The sequence below is a fragment of the Homo sapiens genome, chromosome X (genome assembly GCF_000001405.40).
Source record: "Homo sapiens chromosome X, GRCh38.p14 Primary Assembly".
Taxonomy (NCBI): domain Eukaryota; kingdom Metazoa; phylum Chordata; class Mammalia; order Primates; family Hominidae; genus Homo; species Homo sapiens.
This window is the reverse complement of record NC_000023.11, coordinates 51,019,413-51,046,899: the sequence shown is the minus strand read 5'-3', so window position 1 is coordinate 51,046,899 and position 27,487 is coordinate 51,019,413. Positions and strand designations below refer to the sequence as shown.

Here is a 27,487-nt window from a genome sequence, read left to right as displayed (position 1 = left end):
TCTTTATTGTACTAATGAATGTTAGTGGCGATTGTTATTATAATTGCTTTAAATGTTAAGTATAGTGATTCCTACAGCTTTTTGATACATATAGTTTTTATATAGTTAAGGACACACTCCTATTTTATTATTTTTTTACCAGTAATAAAGGTTCAGTGTTTCAATACTTACTATACAACTATTAAGAATATTATGTCCACTATTTGTATCTTCTCACCTCCTATTAGGCATAGGGTCTCAGCTGACATGGACACCTGGAGATCTGTAGTGTCATGGAAGTTGGAGAAGGTTTAAGAGTGTAAAAACTGCCTTAGGTCTAGAAATTGTGAAAGGGTTTGTGCTTTTCTTATTTGAGCAACTTCCCTCAGACCCCTGGTTATTTACACTTAATTTTTTTTTTCTGGTACAAGCAAAGTGGTATCCTTGTAATCTGTCTCTCTACTTTTTGCATAGGGGCACCATGTTCTATTAATCATCTCCATGACTCTCTACACCTCCAACCTCCTTGGCTGTTAATTTGCATATCATTATGACAGTATGAACCTTTGGTTTCTGGTAGTTAAGAGCTGCCACTTCACTATTGTTTCAGGGTCTTATATTCCCAAATCCTGCAACAAGCCAAGATCTTCAGCAGCATCTCCTATACACAGCTCCTACATTTAGTACAGAAGAGGAGAGTCACTATTGAATGTCTTAGAGAGTTTAATATCTCCCTCAGCAGTGCATTCTTTATGGCTTCAGTAAATGGTGTGTCCTCTGGTCTTTTGAATGGAATGTACTCATCTGGAGGGGCTTCTGTTCACACATAGTTTATCAACTGCAGCACGTACATATCCCTGAGTCCTTTAATCCCTTCCACCACAATATGCCACAACAATTCTTGCATTTCAATCTCACTTAGCATGGGCCATAACATTTTCAATGCTCCTATGAGCCATTTTACTAATGAGTTTATACCATCTACTGGTGTCATTAGCAGTGTATTAAATCCTACATCTTAGGAGAGTGCTCCCGAGTCAACAAACTCTTGCTTATAGAGTTTTAAGTTATGACTCCCTGATCAAGCATTCTTACAATATACCCCTCAGCTCCTTTCAGTACATACAGCCTAGGTTTTAAGGAAGCCAGAATGACCTTCAAATAATAAAAATCTAATTGTGGCATCCCAGTGCTGAATCCCTTCCCTGCCTCCCCATTGATCTCAGGATAAAGTCCAAAACATTTCTCATATCAAACATGGTTTTGAATGGTCATGACTGATCTATCTCTCATTTCACCTTTTACTGGTTTCCCTCCTGCTCACTATGCTGTAATCACACTAGAAGCATTGCTTTTTATTTTGATTCCAATAGGCCCAGCTCCTTCCTCACTCAAGGCTTCCAAAGAGTTATTCTCTCAGTCTGAGGAACACCTCCCAACTTCTCCTACTGTTCTTTGCCTGGCTAATTCATGTTCACCCTTCCAATTTCAACTTAATCACCACTGACTGAAACAAGCATCCCCCTGATCTGATCTCCCCTACAGTAGGTCAAGACCTTGTGATATTCTCCCATAGCCTCCTGGACTTTCATTGTGTATGTGAATCCCAATTTTACTTACTATGACTAGTTTAATGCCTGCTAAACTGAAAGCTCCATGAGGGTAGAGAGATTCTGTCTGCTTGTTTACTTCTGTGTCATCAAGCTTTCTCTTCCTAAAATATGCCTGCATTCTTTGACATAAAAGTCTCTTTGCAGGTTTTTCAGACTTCTAATCCTGGTTCTTACTCTCATGTGATTCGCTCTGGGCTTTCTTCCGTTCTGTCCTATAGTTGCCTAAAGAAAACAATTACTATTAACATCACAATAAAAATGATCAACAACAGTGATGTAACATCTGAACTCAAAGTTCCATTCCCTCCACAGAACAATGACCAACAAGATAGTTGCAAAACTCACAGTGGTCCACTATCACCTTGCTCTGACTCTATTCCAGTGAATACTCAATCAAATCTTCTGTATGTCAGCCTCTTTTCCAATTTAAGCAAAAACAGGAAACACCAGAAATTACCCAGAGCCATTCTGTTGATATTCCTCAAAAAGTACTGTTGTAACTTATATGCACACAACCAAATGAAGAAAACATCATTTGCCCAACTGCCTAATTTTACATTCTGTGATGCCCATACCCACAAAGTGCATGAAATTTTACTATGATAATAATATCAAACAACAAAAATAACACATTAACAAGAGCAACTAAGTAAATCTCTTACAAGGGAATAAATCTTGTTAAAATTATTTCCATATAATACTATATTTTCACCATTTTTTCTTATTTAAACTTTCCATTGGTTTTAAACATGTTAACCCCAAAATAAAAACACTCAGTTGTTCTGTAAAAAGTCAGACCTAATTGCAGTTTCATTCTCACTTGAATTGAACAGCTTCCTTAGGCATTTTGTCAGCTTTGCACAGCCGCTCAGTTTTTCTCTCTTCTGGAGGATCCTCTCTTGAAAAAAACTAAGAAATTCCCAGGAGAAATGAGATTCCACATGCTTGTAAATACCAGGAAGATAAAGCATCCCTGCTGGTCTGCAGCCAATCCTGAATCCAGCAAAGCTTCATCTTCCACCCTCCCACTCCTGCACCTAAGATGGCACAATAAGTAGTGAGTGAGAAATCATTCCATTTCTCATCCTGAAATGTTACAGGGGTCAGGAAAACGTTTTCTGTTTGTGGGTAATAATATGAAGGATTACCTAATAAAAGATGGAACCTGAAACATTATACCAGGTGTTCCATCATATCCCAACTATCCCATCAAAGTGAAAATGGCCATTTCTCCAAAATACACACTTAGAAACACACACTTAAAATAATACGCCCAACATTTAGACACTTACCTATATCTTAATAAAGACCCAATTCCTAAGAGCATTTTGTATTAAAACAGTCATGATATTGCCTTATCATGCTGATAGAAATATTACAGTCATGGAAAACCATGGACACCTTTCTATGGTTTTGAATTGTTTAAATTTCCATGAAGGAGCAGACAAAAAAAGGGATGAGAAAGCCACATTTCACAGCAATTTCTCACCATATGTTCACACCCAAGTATTCATCTCTTGCCAGTATGGACACAGCCACACATTCAAAATCTCTTGGAATTTACTCAACAGGGGCTCACCCATCCAGTCAGCACTACATTTTTGTTTTTGTTTTTATTTTTATTTCCCTAAGAAAAAAAAAACAACCTTCACTGAGCTCCCAGGTTGAAAAGTAAAAATTGCAAAGCAATTCCCAAGATGCATTATAGTCATCTGCTGTGGTCCTGCTTCCCACATCAGCCAGAGAGACTCTGGAGTAATAGACCATGATTACACCCTCCTGTATTCTTAGCATCAAGGACAGTTTCTGGACCAATGTATCTATTTCCTCTGCCTGTCTTTAAGGCAGGGGCTCCTCAAGTGTGGTCCCCTGGCCAGCAGCACTAACATCACCTAGGACCTGTTAGAGATGCAGATTATCGGGCCTCACCCTGACCTTCTGCATCAGAAATTCTGGGGTTTGCAGAGCAGACATCTGTTTTTTAATAAGCCCTCTACATAGAAAGTGTATTCTGATGCACACTCAAGTGTGAGAACCAGCGTTTTCAGGAATGAACACCAAATCCCAAGATAATGAAAAATACATATAATAAAGACTCTGATTTACCTACATGTTAGTGATATTGCTATAGCTTGTGCATTGCAGGAATATTCTGTATCAATTAAGGTAAGCATAATCATAAGGGGTTATCAAATACTCTGAACAAATGGAGCATATAGTATACTCATGGATTGCAAGTGTCATTATTGCTAAAATACAAATTATCCTGATATTAATCTACAATTGTAACATAATCTCATCCAAAACTGACACATTTTTGTGGAATTTGACAACAGCTTCTAAAAGTGATAAAGAAATTCAAAGCACAAAGTGTAGGCAAAGCAATATTTAAGAAGATGAACAAAGCTAGAGAACACACACTACCAGATGTCATAAACTTTCCAGGGATATCATGATTGAGAGTGCATGGTATTGGTATAAAGAGGCACACAACCTCATTAATCCCCAGGGCAATAGAAATTGAAGTAGCCACTGACACCACCAGAATGCTGGCACATAACACGTGTTGGGGAGAATGAGAAGCAACCTGAAGAATCATACATTGCTGGTGGGAGGGAAAGTTTGTAAAAGTACTTATGAAAACTGTTGTGCAGGATCTACTAAAACTGAGTATATATGTGAACTGTGACTGAGCTTTTCCAATCTAGAAGGAGGAGATGGGGTAGTGGAGAAGAGTCTGTCTGATTCCAGCCCAGAATAACAAATTGCACAGTAGAAGATGGGGATTTCAAATTGTCCCGGTGAGAGAGGATTACCCTCAAACACTTAAAACACATCCTTGCCATCCGGGTTTTTGGAAGGCTCAGTACACAATCTTACTGTGGGAACCTGCTCTGAAAGGCTATAGTCTGGCAATCAGCTCAAGAAGGGAAAAACCCATGCCAAGAGAAAGGGCCTCATGGGGTTGTGCAAAAAAAAAAAAAAATTGTAGTTATCCTCTCCTATGGATCACTTCTTGCTCCAACACAGACCACCCTTCAATCTGACACAGCATTAGAAAGCCCCTCTGATATGGTTTGGCTGTGTCCCCACCCAAATCTCATCTTGAATTCCCACATGTTGTGGGAGGGACCTGGTAGGAGGTAACTGAATCATGGGCTAGTTCTTTCCTGTGCTGTCCTTGCCATAGTGAATAAGTCTCATGAGATCTTACAGTTTTATTTATTTATTTATTTATTTAGATGGAGTCTCGCTTTGTTGCCCAGGCTAGAGTGCAGTGGGGCAATCTCGGCTCACTACAAGCTCTGCCTCCTTGGTTCACACCATTCTCCTGCCTCAGCTTCCCAAGTAGCTGGGACTACAGGTGCCCACCACCATGCCCGGCTAATTTTTTTGCATTTTTAGTAGAGATGGGGTTTCACTGTGTTAGCCAGGATGGTCTCAATCTCCTGACCTCGTGATCCACCTGCCTCGGCCTCCCAAAGTACTAGGATTACAGGCGTGAGCCACTGCACCCTGCTGAGATCTTACAGTTTTATAGAAGGGGGTTTCCCTGCACAAGCACTCTTCTCTTGTCTGCTGCCATGTGAGAGGTGTCTTTCACCTTCCGCCATGCTTGTGAGGCCTCCCCAGACACAGGGAACTGTGAGTCTATGAAACCTCTTTCTTTTGTAAATTGCCAAGTCTCAGGTATGCCTTTATTAGCAGTGTGAAAACGGACTAAAACACTCCCCAGAACAAAGTCCTCATCTCAGCCACTCACATGTTGCAGCCCTCCCTGCCCAGAAACATGTGCTCACTCTCCTCTGAGTGCCAACTCAGAGTCAAGTGGAAGATATCACACAAAATCTCCTCCATGAAGTACCACTCCAACCTCAGCATCCTTGAGAAGTGGATATCACAGCCTTAGTTGTCATCATAGACTCCAGAGACTCCAGACCAGGTGATTTAGACAGCGGGGAGCTTGCGGATGTTCCTGAGCACTGGGCCTTTCCTCTGCATGATATAACAGCCTGCATATCCTCATTTATGAGAACTGCAGAAAATGGATGCCTTATCTCATGCACATGTTTCTTTCTCGTTGATGCCACCTTGTGACCTACTTCAGCTGCTACTGCCCACTGGCCCTTATCCAGCCTAGATGGAAAGAACTGTTGTGCATGTGTTTCAGCTGCTTAGGAAGGGGCCTGAGTCGTCTTTGTACCTGAGGTCCTTGCACAGTGCCTGGCGCACAGTATAAGTGATTGGGGAGTAACTGGAGGATGCAGCATGCACCCATCATTTACAGGGTCATCACAGTGGGAATAGAGAGAGTGCTGTGAACAGCAGTTATGCATCGTTATTCTCTGGCCATTTAAGCAGGAACACTAATTGCTTCCACTTCAGCTTGCATGCTGAGTGATAACTGAGCTGTATATCTTTAGAGGGTCCTATCACCAGGCTTCAGGCTGATTTGTGAAAAAACTGTTAAGGCCCCTCTGCCCTTTCTCCCTCTGGGTTCAATCCAAAGTACACAACATTGAAAACAACTGGAGATTGTATATGATATCAGGAAGGCAAAAACATGGAAGTAAGAGGCACCAAGCCCCCTACTCATGTGGATAGTCTGATTGATAAAGGAATAAAATCCACCTACCAGGAAGACCCTAACCTGAGAAAGGTTTTGAAGCTAGGAAAGCAAATGTGTTGAGACAGAGAACTCCTTGTGTTGTAAGATGCTGAGAAGCTTCCAGGTAAGGGCAGTAACAAAGATCCCTTTCCTAGAGGACAGTCTGGAGCTGGGCCAGGAAGGAGGGTGGAGACATGGCTTTGGGAAGAGTTGAAAGCCAGGGCCTGTGAACAATCCCGAGCAGAATGGGGAAATGCATGGAATGGCAGGGGGTCCGCAACCTGCCTGTTGAGAGCAGGAGAGATGAGTGGTCTAGTGCAGAGTGTGTACCTGTGTGTATATAGGAAGCAATGGTTAAGGATAGATAAGTTGACAAAACAAGAAAAATGATTGTGAGATATAGTTGGGTTGAGGTGGGGAAGGCATAAGTGTTTGACAGTGCTTGAAAGCCAAGCACAAAATTGCAGTCTGTGCAGACAGATGCCTGTGTAGAAACACGATGGGGAGGCCTGCATCTGAGGAAGGCTCTCCTGACAGAGGGCTTTGCAAGGAGTTTATAAGGAAGCCCTAGGATTGTGGGGGTGAGTGTCCAAGCTCCCTATGCTGAGAAGGAAGAAGAGGTGCTGAGTGGGCCAGAGCCTAGGCTCACAGCCCCCTGCTCAATTACAGCTCCTCTGCCATCCTAGTCTTCATAGACTAGGGATTATGCAGAGTAAAATGATTGCTACCATTTTTTAAAGAAATTATTCAGGTGGATAAAAGAATTATGCCAATAAAATATCTAGAAACAACAGCTTACTGTTTTTATGTGGATACTGGACTCAAAGAACCATGGACCAAGTTCAGTCATGGGCTGTCTAGTGCAGGTGGCGTGAGAGCTTTTAAGATACTTAAAGAGTGATGGCAGAGAGCCACGGAGTAGTTTAGGGAATGGAAATGGGTACTCTCAGCCTTGGACAAAAGGGGCCAGGTGGAGGTCTAGGAAGGGGGACTTGTCTTCAGACAATCAATGGATACAGCAGACACAATAGGATATGTAGGCCACGAAACTTCAGTGTGCATGGTGGGATAGGGTTGAGGCAAAACAGGGGATAAAAAGTGCTGTTTGGGTAAAAGTAGGGTCCAGAATTGGGACATTGGGTGCCCCACAGTTATAGAAGGGTGAGTAATAAATGAGTAGAGGTATGGCTCTCTAATGAGCTGATTTGGTATTTGGGCAACCTAACTACCTTACTTGTAGCAACTTGAATACTAATGTGGGAAGGGCATTAGACAATAGTTTGTCTCTGAGCATATCAGGGTGGCTGTTACTGGGGCTATGTTGGTCTTGTGTCAGTTCCAGGGTTTATAGTGAAGATGGTGAATCCAGTGGCATTCTGAATTTAACACTAAATTCTGACATTATGAAATAGACAGTAAACATATAAAAACACTAATCATTAATCATTAATCATTAGCGATATGAAAAGACACTGTCATCAATTCATCATATGAAAAGGTACTAATCATTGATTCATTAATCATTAGGGAACTGTGAAATAAAACCACAATATGAAACAATTACACAAACATTCACAATGTCAAACCACATTACACAATTTTCACAGTGTGAAACCATTACACAAACACCAGAATGGCTAAAATAACATTGAAGAAAAACAGCTCATTTTGGAGAAAATGTAGAGCACTCAGGACTTTCTCATATGGCTAGTGAAGTAGAAGCTGGTACAACCACGTGAGAAAACCTTTCCCCTGTAACTCTTAAAGCTGAGCAAATGCATATCCTATGACTCAGCAATTCAACTCCTGGGTATATACCCAACAGCAATGAGGGTGTATGTTCAGGAAAGGACATGTAAAGGGGTATTCATAGCAGCATTATTCATAATGGTCATAAGCTGGCAATAACTCAATTGTCCATCAAAAGTGGAGTGGATAAATAAACCACCTCACAGTTACATTGAGCAGCTTGTGCTGCTCTCCTTTTCAACAAGTTGCCTGCTTAAGACTCTTCTATATTTTGTCAACTTTCCAAGATTAAATGTGAATTGCTTTAAAACAATGCTGAAAGAAAAACTAAATGAGAAAAAGCCATATAAACCCCATATTTATTATTTCTACTGAAGTGAAGTGTCTGTGGCTCCAGGCAAGGCCATTTGAACATTTGATCTTTCCAAGCCACACTGCTCAGTCAATCCAATGGTCTTGTGTCAAAGCACCCGACCTTCAGAGCTCTCCTCACAGGACTCAGGTAATCCCTTGTGCCTCTCCCATCATCTACAGATGTTTCAAGTTCACTCACTTGAAAAGATGTGGGCTAGAAGTCTCTAATTAGACATTCCTCTTTCTGAACACATCCTCGTCTCCCACCAGCCTGCCTAGAGAACTGCTCCTGTTCTTCATCCACATAGGAACCTCCATCTGTCCTGTTGTCCTTCACATGAGCGAATGGCTCAAGCAGGTTGGGCCCTGAGTGTTCAGAATGACTTGCTGTAAGGATTCTGGGAGTCTGAGATTACCTTGAGGTTAACCTTGAGCTGCCTGGGGCACTCCTGTGTTCCCTGGGGCACTCCACTAGGTCAGGTTTGCAGCTGAACCCTGAGATGTTAATCCCTCATGACACACACACTGCTTAATGCCATTCACTGTCTGTGATGTCTTAGGCCATCTGTGGAAGTGAGGAAGCGCTGTCCTTCTGAGGGAGTGGTAGGAGAGCTACCTCAGCATCCCTGAGTGGGTTCAGGAAACTAGCTGATCCTGAGCTTGTAAAAGTGCCAGGTGATAACAACATGACAGGAGTGCAGTCCTCAAGGCACTTGCTGACTTTATCCCTCCTCCTCATCCTTTTCCTACCCTTCTACCCATATCCCGCTACCCAAGTTGTTTTGCAAATCCTGCTTTTGGGAGTGGGCAATGTGTGGCATGGGTCAAGACCCACTCTATGAGGACTATGAACTGAGAGAAGGCAGAAACAAACTTTCCTTGCTGATGTCAGCTGTTCTCTGAAAATGGATGAAGGGTGTGAATATGAACAAATTCCAGGGAGGAGAGAGTGAGGACAACTGTCCCCTGGAAGGTTGTTATCCTCCAGTATTTGGAAATCTTCCTCCACCTGGGAACTGAACAGGGCTATCTTTTTTTTTTTTTGAGACAGGGTCTCTCTCTGTTCCCCAGGCTGGGGTGCAGTGGCGTGATCATGGCTTACTGCAGCCTCAACCTCCCAGGCTCAAGCAATCCTCCCATCTCTCAGAGGTTTTTAGAGAAGCAAAACCTCTTCTCTGCAAAAGGTACAAAAATCAGCCAGGTGTGGTGCTGCATGCCTGTAGTCACAGTAGTCACGAGTACCTGGGACTACAGGTGTGCAGCACCACGTCTGGCTGATTTTTGTACTTTTTGTAGAGAAGAGGTTTTGCTATGTTTCCCAGGCTATGAACAGGATTTACAGTGTGGCCTCAGAGGTGGAGATATACATTGGAAGTTTCTTGCCCTGAAACATGGAAAATATGTGAACCAGGAGTCATATCATAACCTGAACTGCTCCTTGCACTGAAGGCAGTCCTCCATTCTTTGCCTCACATCCCCAACATGTCCACCACTTTTGCACAGCATATCAAGTGGCTGTTGAACTGGTTTTATTCCTTCCAGTTGCCTGCAGCAGTTTCTAAAATTGCTTTCATTCTCAAAGAACTACAAATAGAACTATCTTTTGACCCAACAGTTCCATTACTGAGGATATACCCAAAGGAAAACGAATCATTCTACCAAAAAGACACATGCACCCATATGTTGTTCATCACAGCGCTATTCACAACAGCAAAGACATGAAATCAACCTAAATGCTCATCAGTGGTGGACTGGATAAAGAAAATGTCGCAGCACTATTCACAACAGCAAAGACATGAAATCAACCTAAATGCTCATCAATGGTGGACTGGATAAAGAAAATGTAGTACATAAACACCATGGAATACAACACAGCCATAAAAAAGAATGAAATCATGTCCTTTGCAGCAACATGGATGCAGCTGGAGGCCATTCCCCTTAGCAAACTAACGCAGGAACAAGAAACCAATTATCACTTGTTTTCATTTACAAGTTGGAGCTTAACATTGGGTGCACATGAACATAAATGGAAACGATAGACACTAAAGACTGGAAGAATGGGGAGGGTGGGAGAGGGGAAAGGGTGGAAAACTACCCATTGGGAACTATGCTCACTATCTGAGTGACAAGTTTAATCACATCTAAAACCTCAGCAGCCCACAGTATACCTGTGTAACAAACCTGCATGAGTACCCCCAAATATAAAATAAAAGTTGGAAGAAAAACAACAAAAAATTATTTTATTGCTAAATATGTTCATCCTGCCTCAATATTTCATTTCATTTTCCAAAAAGTGAAAAGTACCGAGCTCTGATTTTCATATAACTCTCTTTCTTCATCTTTCTTAAGTGGTTTATCGCTGACAGATTCCACAAAATTGTTCTTCACCCCAAAATTCTAACATCTATAAATATTTGAGTCAAGTACTCAAGGAGCCATTAGGCTGGCTTAGCACATTTCCGTAAGTACGGAGAGTAAGGAGACAATGAGTTCAAATGGATTTGGACACTTTTTTATGCATTACATGGCAGGCCACATGAGCTTCATGTTTACATCAATTGCTGTGGTTCCCCAAGTCCTACCTGGTGGTCTGTGTCACTGCTGAGGAATTCTGAACTTAGAAATCGCCCAATCTTATAAGGGCACTGCTAGCAAACCTGACCCAATGTTGCCCTGGAGGAAGCCATTATCATTATTATTCTGGTTTGGAAACAAATCTGCCCTTTGACTGAGAGAGTGACATTATCTCCTTGAAATGTCTCTGGGTTGGGGAGGAGACTCAAGCATTATTACACTGGAATGTAAGCAAATACAATTCCTGACCTGGAACAGCTTTGCAAATATCCTCAAACAAAGCTGTAAATGCCATTTGTTCAGAAGATGTGCAGAAACACCAGACCCATGCCTTTGGGTGAAGATGGGGCGGGGGGGAATGCCACTTGGATCAATGACAAAAAAAAAGTCATTTTAAAAATTCAACATTCGATCTTAATGACATTTCTCATTAATAAGAATGAGAAATGTCATTAAGATCGAATGTTGAATTTTTAAAATGACTTTTTAAACGACTATCTTATGTAAATTAGGAACAAAACAAAGCATGTTTAACTTGATAGGCATAAGAATTAAAAGGCAACAATGTATTAGATAGTGAAACACCAGGATAATTCCAACAAAGGCAAGCAACCTAGATGCCTGATATCACCACTTTGGTCAAGACTTTACTGCAGATCCTACACAATTCACTAAGAAAGGAACAAAAAGAATAGATACGAATAATGAATAGGAGAGCAAAATTTTATCACCATTTTCAGAAAATTTCATCATCCACCAAGAGAAATAAAATGTAGGAGAATCAATGGAAAAATATCAAGAGTTTATTGAGTGGGAATTATATCAAATAACTATACAAAAGTTTATGGTTTTCTATATGCCACCTATCACAAATTAGAATAGAGTAAAAAAATGAGTGCATTCCAAACAGTAATTTTAAATAATAATATATCTACAAATAAACATAGGTAAAATGGTTCCATTGTTAAACAAATGAAAATGAAAAACTTTAACGAAGGCCAAGAAAATTCTGAACTTATAAATATGTCATATTCTAATAAAACCTGCATGAGATATGAGAACATGTTTAGGATTATAATTGAACTTAAAAGTGACCTGGACAAATAAATACACAGCTATGTACAGCTATAAAACCAAGACCGGCCAGGCGCAGTGGCTCATGCCTGTAATCCCAGCACTTTGGGAGGCCAAGGCGGGCAGATCACCTGAGGTCGGGAGTTCGAGACCAGCCTGACAAACATGGTAAAACCCCATCTCTACTAAAAATACAAAAATTAGCTGGGTGTGGTGGTGCACACCTGTAGGCCCAGCTACTCGGGAGGCTGAGGCAGAAGAATCGCTTGAACCCAGGAGGTGGAGGTTGCACTGAGCCGAGATCATGCCACTGAACTCCAGCCTGGGCGACAGAGTGAGACTCTGCCTCAAAAAAAAAAAAAAAAGCCAAGACCGGACTGAAGAAAAGCAGATAATGAACAGGGAATTGGCTTAAGTGATAGCAAAGTTAATGCAACAGTTAACAGTTAAGCAGTGTGGTTCTGGATTAGGAACTGATAAACTGATTAATGGAAAAGTATAGCAGGTCCAGAAATCAATCCCCGTATACATGAAAATGTCACACACACACACATGCTATAGAGGAAGGGAAAGGAAAAGAGATAGAACAAGTCTGACTGCATTCTGGAGAAGCAGCAGAACTCATTCCTGCAGAAAACTTTCTTACCTTCAGAACAAATGAGGCTCTATAGAGCTCCGTCACCACCAGCCCTGCTGTCAGCCCTGGAAGATCCCAGGAAGGGGAGGCCAACTGACTCTGGCAGTGCATCCTCACTCCTCCTCAGGAGACTGGGAGGTAAGGGTGTTGGTTTTCGGAGCAGAAGCCTCAGATCAGCAATGGATCCCAGGCCCTGATTGCAGCCAAGGGGTTGACCACAGCATGAGGACCCATGTTGTACTAAAGCCAGATAGAGTGGGCCCTGGAGTCTGGCTGGCCCCTGCTGTCATCCCCTGGAGACCCCAAGCAGGATGAGATTCCTCAACTTCCCCAACAGAGGTCTCCTGGAGGTGAGAGCCATGGTCTGAGGGGTCAGGACTCAGATTAGTAGAAAAGAGAAAGTCTATTCCATTCCAGGAATCACGGTGAGGACCCCGAGTGAGTATTCAGGGGATCAGTCGCTCTGGAGCAGAGAGGATGCTAGAGTCCCACCCCTGCTGTTGGCTCTGGAAAGCCCGGGCAGGGCTAACAAGATGAAATGTTTCCTTGCTTCCCTGCAGGTGTCTCAGGATGGTGAGGCCTTGGGTAAGTGGTGGTGGAGGACTCAGTTCAGCAGAAGGGAGGCCACCCATTCCCTGCCAGGTATCAAGGCACAGACCCTGGATGAAGATGAAAGACACAACCCACCCCAGAACAGAGGGGGTCCCACAAAATCTGACTTCTGTGGTCAGCCATGCAAGGCCCCCAGTAGGGCTATCTCACTGAGGCCTCCACTGGCTTTCTCCTAAAGAGGCTCTCTGTGTGGCTCAGACTGGATCTAAGGGGTTGGCCTCAAGTGAGCAGAAAGAGGAGACCCAGGTCCTCCTAGAAGTCTAGCTGAGGAGTCTGAGGGAGGATGGAGGAGACCAAGCAAACCAGAAGGTGCAGAGACCCTCACCTGTGCTATCTGCTCTCAGAGGCCCAGGGTAGAGGTTACTGGAAGACAGGCATGATCACTTCCTCCTCGGTGTTTTCTCTGCGGTGGGGCCTGACAGCAAAGGCATCAGGTCAACAGAGGAAGGAATCTCAGATCCTACCAGGAGTCAAGGTGGAGACCTGCAAAGTTCAGCAGCCCCCAAGACCACCCTCACATCTGACACCAACTGCAAATTCGGGTGTCCCCAAGCCCCACCTCAGGTTTGATAATGTGCTAGAAGGACTCACAGAACTCACAGAAAGCTGGCATACTCATGGTTATGGATTATTACAGTGAAAGGATACAGATTAAAATCAGCCAGGAGAAGAGGCACACAGGGCAGAGCCCAGGGAGTTCCAGGCACAGAGCTTCCAGCGTTCCTCTCTGTGTTGAGTCCCAGACAGCACTAACTTCTAGGTATGACAGTACACATGGAGTATTGCTAACTCCAGAAGCTCACCTGAGCCTTTGTGCCCATTGTTTTTATTGAGGCTCAGTTAGGTCGATATGGTTGAAAACCCATTTGACTAACCTCAGTCGTTAGCCCCTCTGGAGGTCGAGCTACTACCATGTGACCCAAGGCTGCCATCATAAGTCATTTTCAGCACAGCCTATCCAGCACGGCCTAAGGTTTCCAGATAAACATGGACACCATGATCAGGCAAGACATCCCAAGGGCTTAGAGACTGCGTCCCAGGAACCACAGCCAGACCTCTCTCTGGGCAAGGATTTTTCTCTAGGCATTTCCGTGGACAATGTAATCTTTTACCACAAGGTACAATAGAAGAACTAAGGGGGCCACACATGCCTGACCAGAGGGTTCTCTGCACAACTCCAGCCCTGGCCTCAGCCCTAGGAGGCCCTGATCAGAGCTGTTTAGCTGAGACCCCTGTCGCTTCCTTTTCTGGACTCTCATGGAGTTGAAGGCTTGGTTTGAAGGAGTTGTTCTTAGGTCAGCAGATTGGATGGAGCTTAGGCCCTGCCTTGAGTTGAGGTAAGAACCCTTATTGAGGATTGAGGGGACCACCACCCCAGAGTAGAAGAGAACCAGCATGATCTGGCCCCTGCTGTTCACTCTGGGAGTCCTCTACCTTCACTGTCTCCTCAGAGATATACAGGAAGTGAGAGCCTTAGTCTGAGGGGACAGTCCTCAGGTCAGCAGATGGCAGGGAGTGCAGGCCCTGCCTGGAGTCAAAGTGAAGACCCTGAGTGAGAACCAAGGGGATTGTTCACCCCATCACACAGTGGACCCCATGGAGTCCCATCCCTGCTGATCCCCATCAGCTCCTGGGAATGGCTTCGTTGAACCTGAGGCATCCCCCCAACTCCTCCTGGGGTCTCAGGTCTCAGGGTATAGGCCAACAATGTATGCAGGGCATTTCTCACTGTGAGCACCTTCAGAGCCCAGGAATAGAGCTCAGGTGTTCCACAGATCCTACCAAGTACAGTCTCAGTGTCCAGGAGTATGAGAGCTTTAGGTAGCCTCGATCCATGAGATTGAGGTGCACCCCAGAAGGATAAATCCACCTCAGTCCTCCTAGATATTCCCACACCTCCACAGGAAGTAGAGAGAGATGGTTTCAAGTTCTCTCCTAATTCTACTGCCGGTATTTGGGGGTTTTCGGTTGAAGGGTAAAATTGAGTTTTCTCTATTGAGGGTGGAGACTGTGGTGGTTTGACGGGGGCAGCCTCAGATTGAGCAGGACATGCCCTTCCAACCGCCAAGGCGATGACCCCTGAATACAGGCTGAATGTGCCACCATCTGATGCTCCTCTGTCAAAGCTGGGAAGCCCAGAGAATGACTGCTTGCTACTGAGGAGCTAGTTCACTGTATCTCCTAGGGTCTCAGGGAATAGAGTGATGAGAAGGATCAAAGTCTGGGTCAGTATTCTAAAGTACAAATGGCAGAGACAGCCTTCCTCCAATCCATGGGAGAGATTTCTTGCTGAGGCCCCTCACACTGCCAGGCCTAAGGTGAGAACCAGGCTCTTGAGGCTGAGGAGGAGGCCTTCTCCCCATTCTCCTGTTATCAGATCACAGGCCGCTAAGGGGAAACCTGCTGGTGGGACACTCATTGCTCCTCCATGTCCTTGGAATCCCCGTTTCACCTCCACTGCCACCTTACTTCCCTCAGGGAACAGCTCAGGTGAGGGAGCAAGCAGCCACAAGGAAAAGCAAGGGCCACATGCCCCATAGGCCCCACCACTTGCTGACTTCAGGCCCAGGGACCTCTTGAGCAGTAATGTGGCTGAGTTGGAGGTGTTCCTCCTGCTCGAGAACCAGAAGAAGGAGCCCACCCAAAAGGCAGAAATGCTGAAGCACATCATCCAACAGCACATGGATCATTTCCGTGAGGCCCTCAGCAAAGCCTCTGAGAGCCTGGAGTACTCTTTGGCCTTGAGTTGAGGAAGTGAACATGGATGCCAGGAAGCAATGTGACATCCTCATCAACAAAGTGGAACTTTCCTCTGCTGAGAGACTGAGTGAGTAAAGACTGGGGCTTGCTCCAAACTGTTATTCTAGACCTAGTTTTCATGGAGGGCAACTTTGCTCCTGAAGAGGACATCTGGAATATGCTGAGAGAGGTGAAGATGCTGAGAGGAAGCACATCATTTTTGAAAGGCCCAGAAAGCTTTTCATTGAAGATGTTTTGCGCAACAATATCTGAATTTGAGGCAGATGCCCAACAGGGATCCTATATGCTACAAATTCCTGTGGGGCCCTCATGACCACACTGAACCCAAAACCGTGTACATTTTGGGGTTTGCAGACAAGATTATTCACGTTGACTTCTGGTCCTACAGGTCAGTGTGCAAAGAGGTCCTGAGAGAAGATCAGGACAAAGTCCAAGCCAGGATTTCAGGGAATAGGGGAACTAATGCCATGGAGTGTGCAGGGGCCAGGGCCATTGCCAGTGGTACAACTGGTGCCCGTGCTATGGCCAGCAGCAAACATAAGTCAGGCTGAGGCAGGTAATTCACTCTGTGTTTAAAGTAGGCACTCAAATATGCTGTAGTGAGAAGTAGTGAAGAGCTGCATGTGTGAGGGGAACACACATGGTGTTCCATCACTGTTTGCTATGGACTGAATTGTGTCTCCCCAGCATTTATAAGTTGAAGCCCTAACCCCCAAAGTGACTTGGAGGTAGGGCCCAGAAGAAGGTAATTAAGGTTAAATGAGGTTGTAAGGGTGGAGCCTTAATTTGGTAGGATTATTGCCCTTCTAAAAGGGTAGTAAAGTGTCCGGCTGACAAGAGGCCGAGGGGCAATGCCTTCTGGAGTGGGGATCATGTGTTCTAGAGGAAAGAGATTTAGGGACCGTGAATGGGGTTGGGCAAGGAAGGTTTACAGGTATCTAAATATACGAATACATGGAATTCCTTTCATATGACATAAAATGTCTGCTATACATAAGATTCCTACATTTCTATCATTAACAGAATTATGAAGTATGCAAAATGACTGGGCATATTAGGTTTAAATAAGCAAAGCAAAGCTATGTGTCTTGTTTTACATAAGCTAGTAACAACTCTGAAAACTCCTAAAGCAATGAGTGTGATAACCACTGTGAAGGGAGTGTAAGCTTTCATCTGGATTCAGGTCTGGTCCAGAGTCTTGGGGGAAGCAGTTTCCCTCAATGATGGGCTTCTTCTCATCCTGGTGTTGGGGCTCCAGCCACCTTACATTTGGTATCAGGTATTGGGGCTGAATTGCAGACATCTGCAAGTGCCTTTTGTAGGTGGGATATGTGGATCCAGCAGTCAATGACCCGTAGCTTACCAACACATGGTTTAGTCAGGAGTACCAGGAATGGGCCTTTTCTGCAAGGCTCGAAGAAATCTTTTAGCTGGCATCTTTTCTAGTAAATGAAGTCTCCTAGCTAGAGGTCATGGTATCAGATTTCATCTTTTGATGGGCTACTGTAGAAGGATTCCACAACCAGTTTATGGTTAGTCGTTGAAGCCTTAACAAGTCCTTGGCAGTAAGTCAGGAGGTCTCCTTGTAACAGTAGGGTAAAACATTCCCTCAGGTAAATGCATGGACTGGCCTGCTGACAATCTCAAAAGGGAGAGGTGGTGTTTTCCAGAGAGGGTAGGTAGCAGGATCAACAGAGCTAGAGGGAGAGCCCTAGGCCAGGGCAGATTAAGAGTGTTTGTAATCTCAGGCAATGGGCTCTTTATTATCCCAATGATTCATTCTACAAGCCCAGAAGACTGTAGGTGGTGGACACAATGGAAGTGTTGCAGAAAAGGTCAGACATCATAAACTCTTTCTAATACTTGGCTAGTAAACTGGGGTCCACAATCACTGTGGAGTTCAGTGGGAACTCCCCAAGTGGGGATAATTCTCTCAAAAAGAATTTTGGCTAATATCATGGCCATAGCTTGTCTGCAAGGAAAGGCCTCTACCGAATGGGAGTACATATCTATCATCTCAAGTACATACTTGCATCCAAGTGAGGAGGGGTACTAGTTTGCAAAAGGGCCATTTGGTAATGGGAATTCTCTGGAGGCAGCCTTTGGGGGCTTCCCAGCATTATACAAATAACAGATTCTGCATCATTTATAGACTTGAGAAGCAACCATCAGGAAAGGACCCCAATTGTACTGTTTTCCCCACTGGATTATTTTGTAAGGGCTCCAATGGGTGAGGTTATGTTTAAAGGCAAGGGTGGCTTTTTGTAAATTTTGTAAATTTTCTGGAAGGACAGGATGAAAGTTAAGTCCTTTCCATAACTGGGATTATGATTTGTAAGTATAACCCTGTTTTGCCCATTTTTCCTTTTTTGCCATCTGCGGACATCTTTTGAGACCAAGAGAGTCTGGAGAAAAGTTTTTTGGAAGGAGCAATGGGTAAGGGTAGGGTTTGAATGGAAACAGGGATAACAGAAGTGGTACCATTTAGGGCTGCAGTCTTGCCTGTAGCATCAGCAGGTGGTTGCCCCTACTATCTTTCTACTATATTCTCAGAGGAGTGACCTTGGATTTCAATAGTAGACAGGGCTCTAAGAGCCAGAATGGCATCAAGAAGTGCCAAAACATGATCCTTATTTTTGGTAGGCTGTCTAGAAGAGGTCAGAAATTTTCTGTTTCCAAAGTCATGGATAACCCCAACAGCGTATCTGCTGTCTGTGCAAATGTCTGCAGTTTTATCTCTGGCTAACAGGCAAGCTGGGGTAAGTGCATGTTATTCTGCCTGTCAGCTGGACCAGGTATTAGTCACAGGCCCCCCTCATTCAAGAATGAGAAGGGAAACAGGAAGGTCATAATTAAGGTGTCCCAACATGAGAGGCAAGGACAGCTGATGCTTGAGATTCTTAAAGGCTTTTGGCCATTGGTAGTACAAGTGAAGGAGTCTGGGGAGAAGCCTCAGGCGAAGTATATCAAGGTTGTGTCATCAAAGAGAAATTAGGGATCCAAGCTCTATGGCAGACCACAAGTCCCCAGAAACCCCTCAGTTATCTTTTAGCATTGGGCAAGGGAAAAGAATATATGCCTTGAAAGCAGGTGAAGTCAATGTTTACTCCTGATGCCCAAGGAACTTGATGGAGTCCCAGCAAAAATATAATTTGTCTTAGAGCCTTGTGTGCCTTAAGGGCTAGCTGGTGAAGTAAGAGGCGAGTGTCAGTGTGGCAAGCCTTTTGAGAGAGGGAGCATAAAAGCAAGACATCAATATATTGTAATGGAGTCAAATTATCTGGGAAGGTTATTTCTTTTAGGTCAGCCTGCAGAATCTTGGAAAGGTGGGAAGGGCTTTTGGTGTATCCTTGGGAAAGCATCATCTATGTAAATTGTTAGCCTTTCCAAGCAAAGGCAAAAAGAAACTGACTTTTGGGGCTGACAGGAGGACTGAAGAAGGCGCTGCAGAGATCAACAGTGGAGAAACAGTGAGTGTCAGGAGGAATCTTGGGTAAGAGTGGTTGTGGATCAAGTACAACAGGGTGTCAGGGACAGACAATGTTGTGGATAGCTCTAAGATCCTGGATGCATCTTCATTCATTCACATTAGGCTTACAGACTGGCAGAACGGATGTATTACAGGGACTGGTGTAGAGGACTATGAGTCCCTGGGAAATGAAACAACCGACTATAGATTCTATATCAGCTCAAGCTTCAGAATTGAGGGGACATTGTTTTAAAATTGGAAGAGGGCTGTTAGTGTCTATCTGTATAGAAATAAGTGATGCTGAATGGGTCAGGCCAACATCTGTATCCGCTTTCACCCAAAGGGTTTCAGGCAGTTGCTATAGAACTGGGTGTTCAGTGACAACTACATAGCTAGAAACTAGCAGGGAGAAGATGCGAGTGACACTAGAGGCTGAAACCTTGGTTGGGGAGACTTCTAAGATGATATCTCCCTTGTGGGTGAAAGAAATGTGGGCTTGGTGTTTTTCAGATTATCTTTCACTATCAAGTGGATTGGGGCAGAGAGGACAACAACAAACTGTGTTGGCCGGCAAGGGGCCCTAATTGATAAGAAACTGGCTCAGACTTAAAGACGGTCATAGTTTGGTTAGCAACCCTCACTATTTCAATTGTTTGATTACTCTAAGGAGGGGGGGTCTGAAAAGGAGTTGAGGGTAAGCACCAAGAGCAGAGCTCCAGTGTCCACTAGAGCTCAGATTAATTTGCTGTTGATTTTAAGACCAGCTTCTCCTACTTAATTAACTGAAAGGAAAGGAAAAAAATCCCCCTAATTTCCCCCAGAAAGTCCTCAGTTTTACCCAACAAAAACTTCTCTTACAAGTTCTCGCGAGTAAGAGGGATTCCTTGCCTTACTTGAGTACTTCTGAAGCCATTGTTTGTACTTTTCCCAATATAATTTTATATAGCCAGGACCCTTACAGGCAAAGCAAATCATGCCCTTTAAAGTAGACAAGGCTACTGCTTTCTGTCTATTTTGTGGGGCTTGCTGATTTGAGGCTTTGAGTTGTTGAATATATAAGGCCACAAGTTTAGCAGTCTTTTTCCTCATTTCTGCTTTAGCCTCTTTTTCTTTTTGCATGGTTTTTGAGAGGCATTCAGCCAGGGAAGCTTTTCATGGGTCTCTTTGAAGCTTAGCAGGGATTATGTTGTTTAGCTAAAGCACTAAGGGCTTCATTGAGACCTGAAAGGATAAGTGAATTAAAATGATTTATGGTATCATCAGTTAGATCTTTGATACCATAGTCTTGTTGGAAAGTTTTTAAAAATCAGTCAAAGTAGTCACAACACAGACTCACTTTCTTTCTGAATGCATCACTGTATAGCCTTCCAGTCAATTTTTTTCTGGAAGGAGCATTGGAATGGATTTAATCAATTTAGCAGAGATTTTTCTCGCTGTCTTGTAGGCCCTTTCCCCAGTAAGATGAAAATCTTCTTGGGGCCTATCTCAGTTACATAATCCAATCTTCAGATCCACTTCAGTCACTGCCTGGACCGAGAGACAAATGTCCCTTTTTATTCAGATCCAGCTTTTTCTCGAGCTGTTCTTGGGACTGTCCAGTCATTTCACAACTTTGGCAGATCTAAAGAGCAGAGGTGACTCCAAGCTGGAGCTTCCCACTGTCTTCTCCTGGGCAGATGCAGACCCATCATTCACCACAGGAACACCCCGGGCTGATGCTGTGCTTCTCCTCAGTGTAGCCCACCAGGAGCAGCACAGACCCACCCACCCACCTCTGGTGATTTCAACCTGATAGTGGTTAAATACTCCTTTACAAACACAAATTTTGTCATGTCACTCTCCTGACTTAACTTTGCCAATGGTTTCCCACTGGCCTTAGAACAAGGACCACAGTGCTGACCATGGCCTCCAGACAATGAGTGCTCCTGCCTGCTGCCCTCTCCCTTCCGGTCCACCCCAGTTGCCTGCCATCTAGTCTGCTCTCTTGGGGACACAGCAGACTCTAGGGTGTCTGGGGGATTGCATACACATTCTCTCAACCCATTCACCCAAAGCCCACACTTATCACATTTTCTAAGATTTTGTACAGCTAAATCCTTAAAGGTCATGTAATTTCATATTATGCAAATTTCATAACATCATTCTTCAAAAGACAAAAAAAATGTTATTTGGCAAATCATCTGTGAGAATAACCCTCAATTTCTAAATCAAGAAAATAGTAGCTAAATACAGAGTCCATATTTAGGATAATTAGTGGAGAAAAATGAAATCTCAATGCTAAGTGAAAGCCTAATTGAAACAAAATTTATCATTAAAATTTCATAATAATTAAATGGATAGCTTATTGCCTTGCTATATTCTTATCTGTATGTATGTATATATGTGTGTGTATATATATATGTATATGTGCATGTACACAGACAAGTTGCAAGATATTTCAGGTTCACACACTGATGTTTACATAATCAGTCAGTATAGTTAATTGACAAAAAGTCCCAGTCCACATCCTGACAATCTATATAAATATTCAAAACAGCTTTTTTATACAGTGAACAATTAGTACAGGAAACAGATAATCGTTCAGAAGACTTATTAATATTTATGGATATTGAAATGCAGTGAGGAGGTGTGATTATTATGTCAAAGCTTTGTTACAGGACTTAGGGCAAGTACACATCCAACACTAAAATTGCGCCTCATCTCAATGAACCAAATGGCCGGCTCTGTCACCCCCTGTGGGATGGCAAATTCTTGGCCCCATGGACCTTCCCCAGAAACTCTAGTTCAGCAGGAAAGTTCCCATAATTTAGAATATCATAAGGAAGGAAAAAAAAAGCCCAAAATATATTTCCTTGACATAATTGGAGATTATATAAACAGAGCCAGCAAGAAGAGGTAGCCCTGCAAACCTGACTTTTGTGGGGAAAATTTGCATGTGTAAGCAATTTGCATAAACTAAGCCAAGCCTTCCCTCCTTGGGTCCTAAGAAAGAGGAACTAAGATTCTGACACCTTAAAGATTGGAAAGCAACACTTACCATCTATTTTCTCTGAGGGCTGCTAACTGTGAGGGTTCTTCTACATAACCAGACCACCCCTGCTATCCAGGCCTCCTTTTCTCTCTCTCCCATAACCTGTCTTGCCACTATAACCTGTTTTACCACTATAACCTGTTTGTGGCCATTCCCTAAACCCACGTTTTTTCTGTAACCTCTGTGATGCCCCCGTGTACACATCAATAAAGTTTCTATGCCTTTGCTGCAATCAATCTGCCATTGTGAGCTGATTTTTTAGCGAACCTTCCGAGGGCAAAGGGGACACTTTCCCTTGGCTCCTACAGCTTGACGCTGTGAGCAGGCTCTGCTCTCCTGAAACCCACAGCCAAGTGAATCCAGGTCCCGATGAGCTATCAAAAGGGTAAGGATTTCTTACCAGTCAGGCTCCAGGCCTCTGTCTCTCTGTGGAATCTGGTTAAGCAGACAGTCAATATTGTTGTTTATTTCTTTTTCTTTTCCAAAATCTTGATTAATGGGAGGAAAGGATTTGTTTGACTAGTCTTGGTCCAATGACTTTGATATACTTTTTGGTACTTTGTGGTTTGAATATTCATAATGTTTGATCCCTTTTCTCCCAGAAAGAGTATTTTCCTTTGTCTTTGTCTTTGTGTGTCCTTCTGTCATAAAGAGGGGTATCATTTTAGGTTCTCTCTCATCTTGTTTGATGTCCTTGAAAGCTTAACTTGTGACCAAGTGGAAGGACTCTCTTTTGGTATCTGCCATCTGGGCAGTGTGATTTTCAAGTCACGTTGGGTAGCCAGTCTCAAAAAGGCTGCAAAATTGAGACGTTTTGTTCCAAATATGTCAAGCTCTCAGGAGAGTTTGTCTTAAGAAGTTCCATTTCTACACCACTTTTGCCATCTCAATGCTTGTTGCCTGGTTAGTGCTGAGAAAGTGCAAGTCTAGGCAGGCCTATGAGGTTTCACAGATTAAAAGGTCTGTGAGTGGCATCCTCCCTCACAAATTCTGGGTTGCCAAAGGCATACACCATTCTCAACAATCTGTAGTAACAAGAGTCCTTTGCTATCTGAACCTATTACTGGGAGAGTTTTTCAGGGTGGGAGTCTTTGGGTTTGCTTCTCTTGTGCCGTCTCCAGGAAACATCTTTTTTTAAACCTGGGCTTTCCATGAAGAGGCTTTTGGATTAAGTCACTATTGAAATAAGTATGCCATTGGAAATTCAATGGCCAGAAGGTGAATCTTTTAAATTAGATTCCTACATTTTTTTAAAAAAGACCTTTGAGATCTCTCATTCTAAACAATTAATGGGAAGATCAAATTCAAAGAAAGACATGCAATAGTGTCATGGCCAGCCCTAGAAATCCTCTTGACATAATTAAGAGCAAAAATCTAACCTAATTTAAAATCTTTGTCAGCTCAAATTGCCTGCTTTAGATTCCCCGCAGGATTAAAATGAATGTTGCTCCACCTGTTGTCCGGTAGTTCCAATTTCACACTTTCATAGCCATGGCCTGGGTGTGATTTCTGCTCAGGGAACCAGTCCCTATTCATTTATTTGTGTGACTTAATTTCGGAGGTACCCACTTACATGTTTGGAGATGTCTTGTGAATCCTTGGTTAAGTCACAACCTTGGTCAAGGCTTATTGCTTTCATTTGGGAGGGTACACCTGTTGCAAAAAAAAAAAAAAATCAGAACTCAGAAATTCCAGCTAAGATCTGTTAACAAGAGATTTTAAAAGATTTTTTAAGAGCTCCATAGTCAAAAGTTAACTTAATTAAAACTGATATTTAGGCTATGTATTTATACATACATATTGTTTAAGGCCTCTATTTTCTCTCTGTAAAACTTATCAATCAACTGAATTCCTGTCTTCTTAAACCTCTGCTAACCATATTTGCTCCCTCTGTCTGCCTCTCCATCTATTCTGTGTGTCCCTCCTTCCCCTTGCCACTTTCAATGCCATAGGAGGGAACCTAAAAACAATTCTAACTGCCTGGGATCTCTTAAGGGAAACAGAAAAGGCAACATGGGCTTCTCTTTTGGGGAGGAAACTTTGTTTATCCTCATGGAACCCCAAGAATTGTAAGTGGACAGATTCAAGTCTGAAGCTCTACTCTCTTTTGCACTAAACTCCTTGATCTCTTTGGCTATTAGGTACATACATGTGCACATGTGAATGTTATATGTTGTGTCTACATATATGTATATGGTCATACATATCTTTACATATTATCTACACATGGTACCACAATAACTTGAATGAGTACTCATAAGTTAAATGAATAAGACCAAATGTTTTTTCAACTTTATGTGACTTGAATAAATCTTTTGGTAAATAAAACTATATTGTTATTGTTGGTTCAACAAAAATAACTATGTCTTCTGAGCTAACAAGAAAATATACATGTACTTAACTTTAAGGTTCTTGCTTTCATGATACTTGCCTAACATACACTAATATAGAAACGGCTAATAGAAAATTTCACTTGTGATGATGACTAGGTTTTTCTAATGTCTCCTAAAACTGCCTAAACATAATTGTTAAATGAATAAAATAGATGTAAATGAGATAAAAGTTTATAAATGAACTCTCCACAAGAAAAGTTTATGATATGTTTACTTAGGTTTTTTTCAATGCTTTTTAGTAACCACACCCTTAGAGTTTTGCTAAACTAAATTAAATGATGGGTTAGGGCCCAGATGCCATGGAGACTTTGGAACAAACTGTCCCACTTTCACTGGAGACTAGTCCAGCAAGAAAGCTCCCATAGTCCATAATATCATATTGAAGGAAATAAAAATGTATTACCACAAACATTGGCCAGATCTAGGCAAGATTAACTGAGAGTCTGATTCTTCTCTTCACCCCTGCAATATCACGCCAAGCATTTTCTTTTCTCATCCAAGAAAACCTGCTCCAGGGATTCTCGAGCAAGATGGCCAAATAGGACTAGCTCCAGTCTGCAGCTCCCAGCAAGACCAATGCAGAAGGCAGGTGATTTCTCCATTTCCAACTGAGCTACCCTGTTCATCTCATTGGGACTGGTTAGACAGTGGGTGCAGCCCACAGAGGGCAAGCAGAAGCACGGTGAAGTGTTGCCTCACCTGGGAAGTGCAAGGGGTCGGGGAACTCCCTCCCCTAGCCAAGGCAAGCCGGGAGGGACTGTGCAGTGAGCAACAGTGCTATCCTGCCCATATACTATGCTTTTCCCACGGTCTTCACAACCCACAGACCATGAGATTCTCTTGGTTGCCTACACCACAAGGGCCCTGGGTTTCAAGCACAAAACTGGGCAGCTATTTGGGCAGACACCAAGCTAGCTGCAGGAGTTTTCTTCGTACCCCAGTGGCGCCTGGAATGCCAGCGAGAAAGAACCATTCACTTCCCTGGAAAGGGGGCTGAAGCCAGGGATCCAAGTGGCCTTACTCAGCAGATTCCGCTCTGCCCACGGAGCCCAGCAAGCTAAGATCCACTGGCTTGAAATTCTCCCTGCCAGCACAGCAGTCTGAAGTCGACCTGGGAGGCTCCAGCTTGGTGGTGGAAGGGGCATCCGCCATTACTGAGGCTTGAGTAGGTGGTTTTCCCCTCATGGTGTAAACAAAGCCACCAGGAAGTTCAGACTGGGTGGAGCCTGCCACAGCACCACAAAGCCACTGTAGTCCGACTGCCTGTCTAGATTCCTCCTGAAATCTCTGAAAGAAAGGCAGCAGCCCCAGTCAGGGACTTGTAGATAAAATTCCCATCTCCCTGGGACAGAGCACCTGGGGAAGGGGTGGCTATGGGCGCAGCTTTAGAGACTTAAATGTTCCTGCCTGCCAGCTCTGAAGAGAGCAGCAGATCTCCCAGCACAGCACCTGAGCTCTGCTAAGGGTCAGACTGCCTCCTCAAGTACATCCCTGACCCTCGAGCCTCCTGACTGGGAGACACCTCCGAGCAGGGGTCAAAAGACACCTCATACAGGAAAGCTCCTCCTGGCATATGGCGGGTGCCCGTCTGGGACAAAGCTTCCAGAGGAAGGAGCAGGCAGCAATCTTTACTGTTCTGCAGCCTCCGCTGGTGATACTCAGGCAAACAGCGTCTGGAGTGGACCCCCAGCAAACTCCAGCAGACCTGCAGCCTGCAGAAGAGGGGCCTGACTCTTAGAAGAAAAACTAACAAACAGAAAGCAATAGCATCAACATGAAAAAAAAAAGGACAACCAAGCAAAACCTTGGTCCAAAGGTCACCAACAGCAAAGACCAAAGGTAAATCCACGAAGATGAGGAAAAACCAGTGCAAAAAGGCTGAAAATGCCAAAAACCAGAAAGCTTCTTCTCCTCCAGAGGATAACTCCTTGCCAGCAAGGGAAAAAAACTGGACAGAGAATGAGTTTGACAAATTAACAGAAGTGGGCTTCAGAAGTTGGGTAATAACAAACTCTTCCAAGCTAAAGGAGCATGTTCTAACCCAATGCAAGGAAGCTAAGAACCTTGATAAAAGGGTAGAGGAATTGCTAACTAGAATAACCAGTTTAGAGAAGAACATAAATGACCTGATGGAGCTGAAAAACACAGCACGAGAACTTCGTGAAGGTCACACAAGTATCAATAACCAAATTGATCAAGTGGAAGAAAGGATATCAGAAATTGAAGATCAACTTAACGAAATAAAGTGTGAAGACAAGATTAGAGAAAAAAGAATGAAGAGGAACAAACAAAGCCTCCAAGAAATATGGGACTATGTGAACAGACAAAACTTATGTTTGATTGGTGTACCTGAAAGTGATGGGGAGAATGGAACCAAGTTGGAAAAGATGCTTAGGATATTATCCAAGAGAACCTCCCCAACCTAGCAAGACAGGCCAACATTCAAATTCGGAAAATGCAGAGAACACCACAAAGATACCCCTCAAGAAGAGCAACCCCAAGACACATAATTGTCACATTCACCAAGATTGAAATGAAGGAAAAAATGTTAAGGGCAGCCAGAGAGAAAGGTCGGGTTACCCACAAAGGGAAGCCCATCAGACTAACAGCAGATCTCCCTGCAGAAACTCTAC

General features: G+C 43.5%; 1 pseudogene, besides 1 other annotated feature; it reads left to right on the top strand.

The window, feature by feature from the left end:
* Positions 15,531-16,278, top strand: LOC100420318 (melanoma antigen family A, 12 pseudogene; annotated as a pseudogene).
* Positions 22,342-22,451: a silencer, noted in NCBI's record as "silent region_20850". NCBI's record gives its function as "represses an Ori minimal core promoter by ATAC-STARR-seq in GM12878 lymphoblastoid cells {active_cell/tissue: GM12878}" and the evidence as "EXISTENCE:reporter gene assay evidence [ECO:0000049][PMID:35858748]".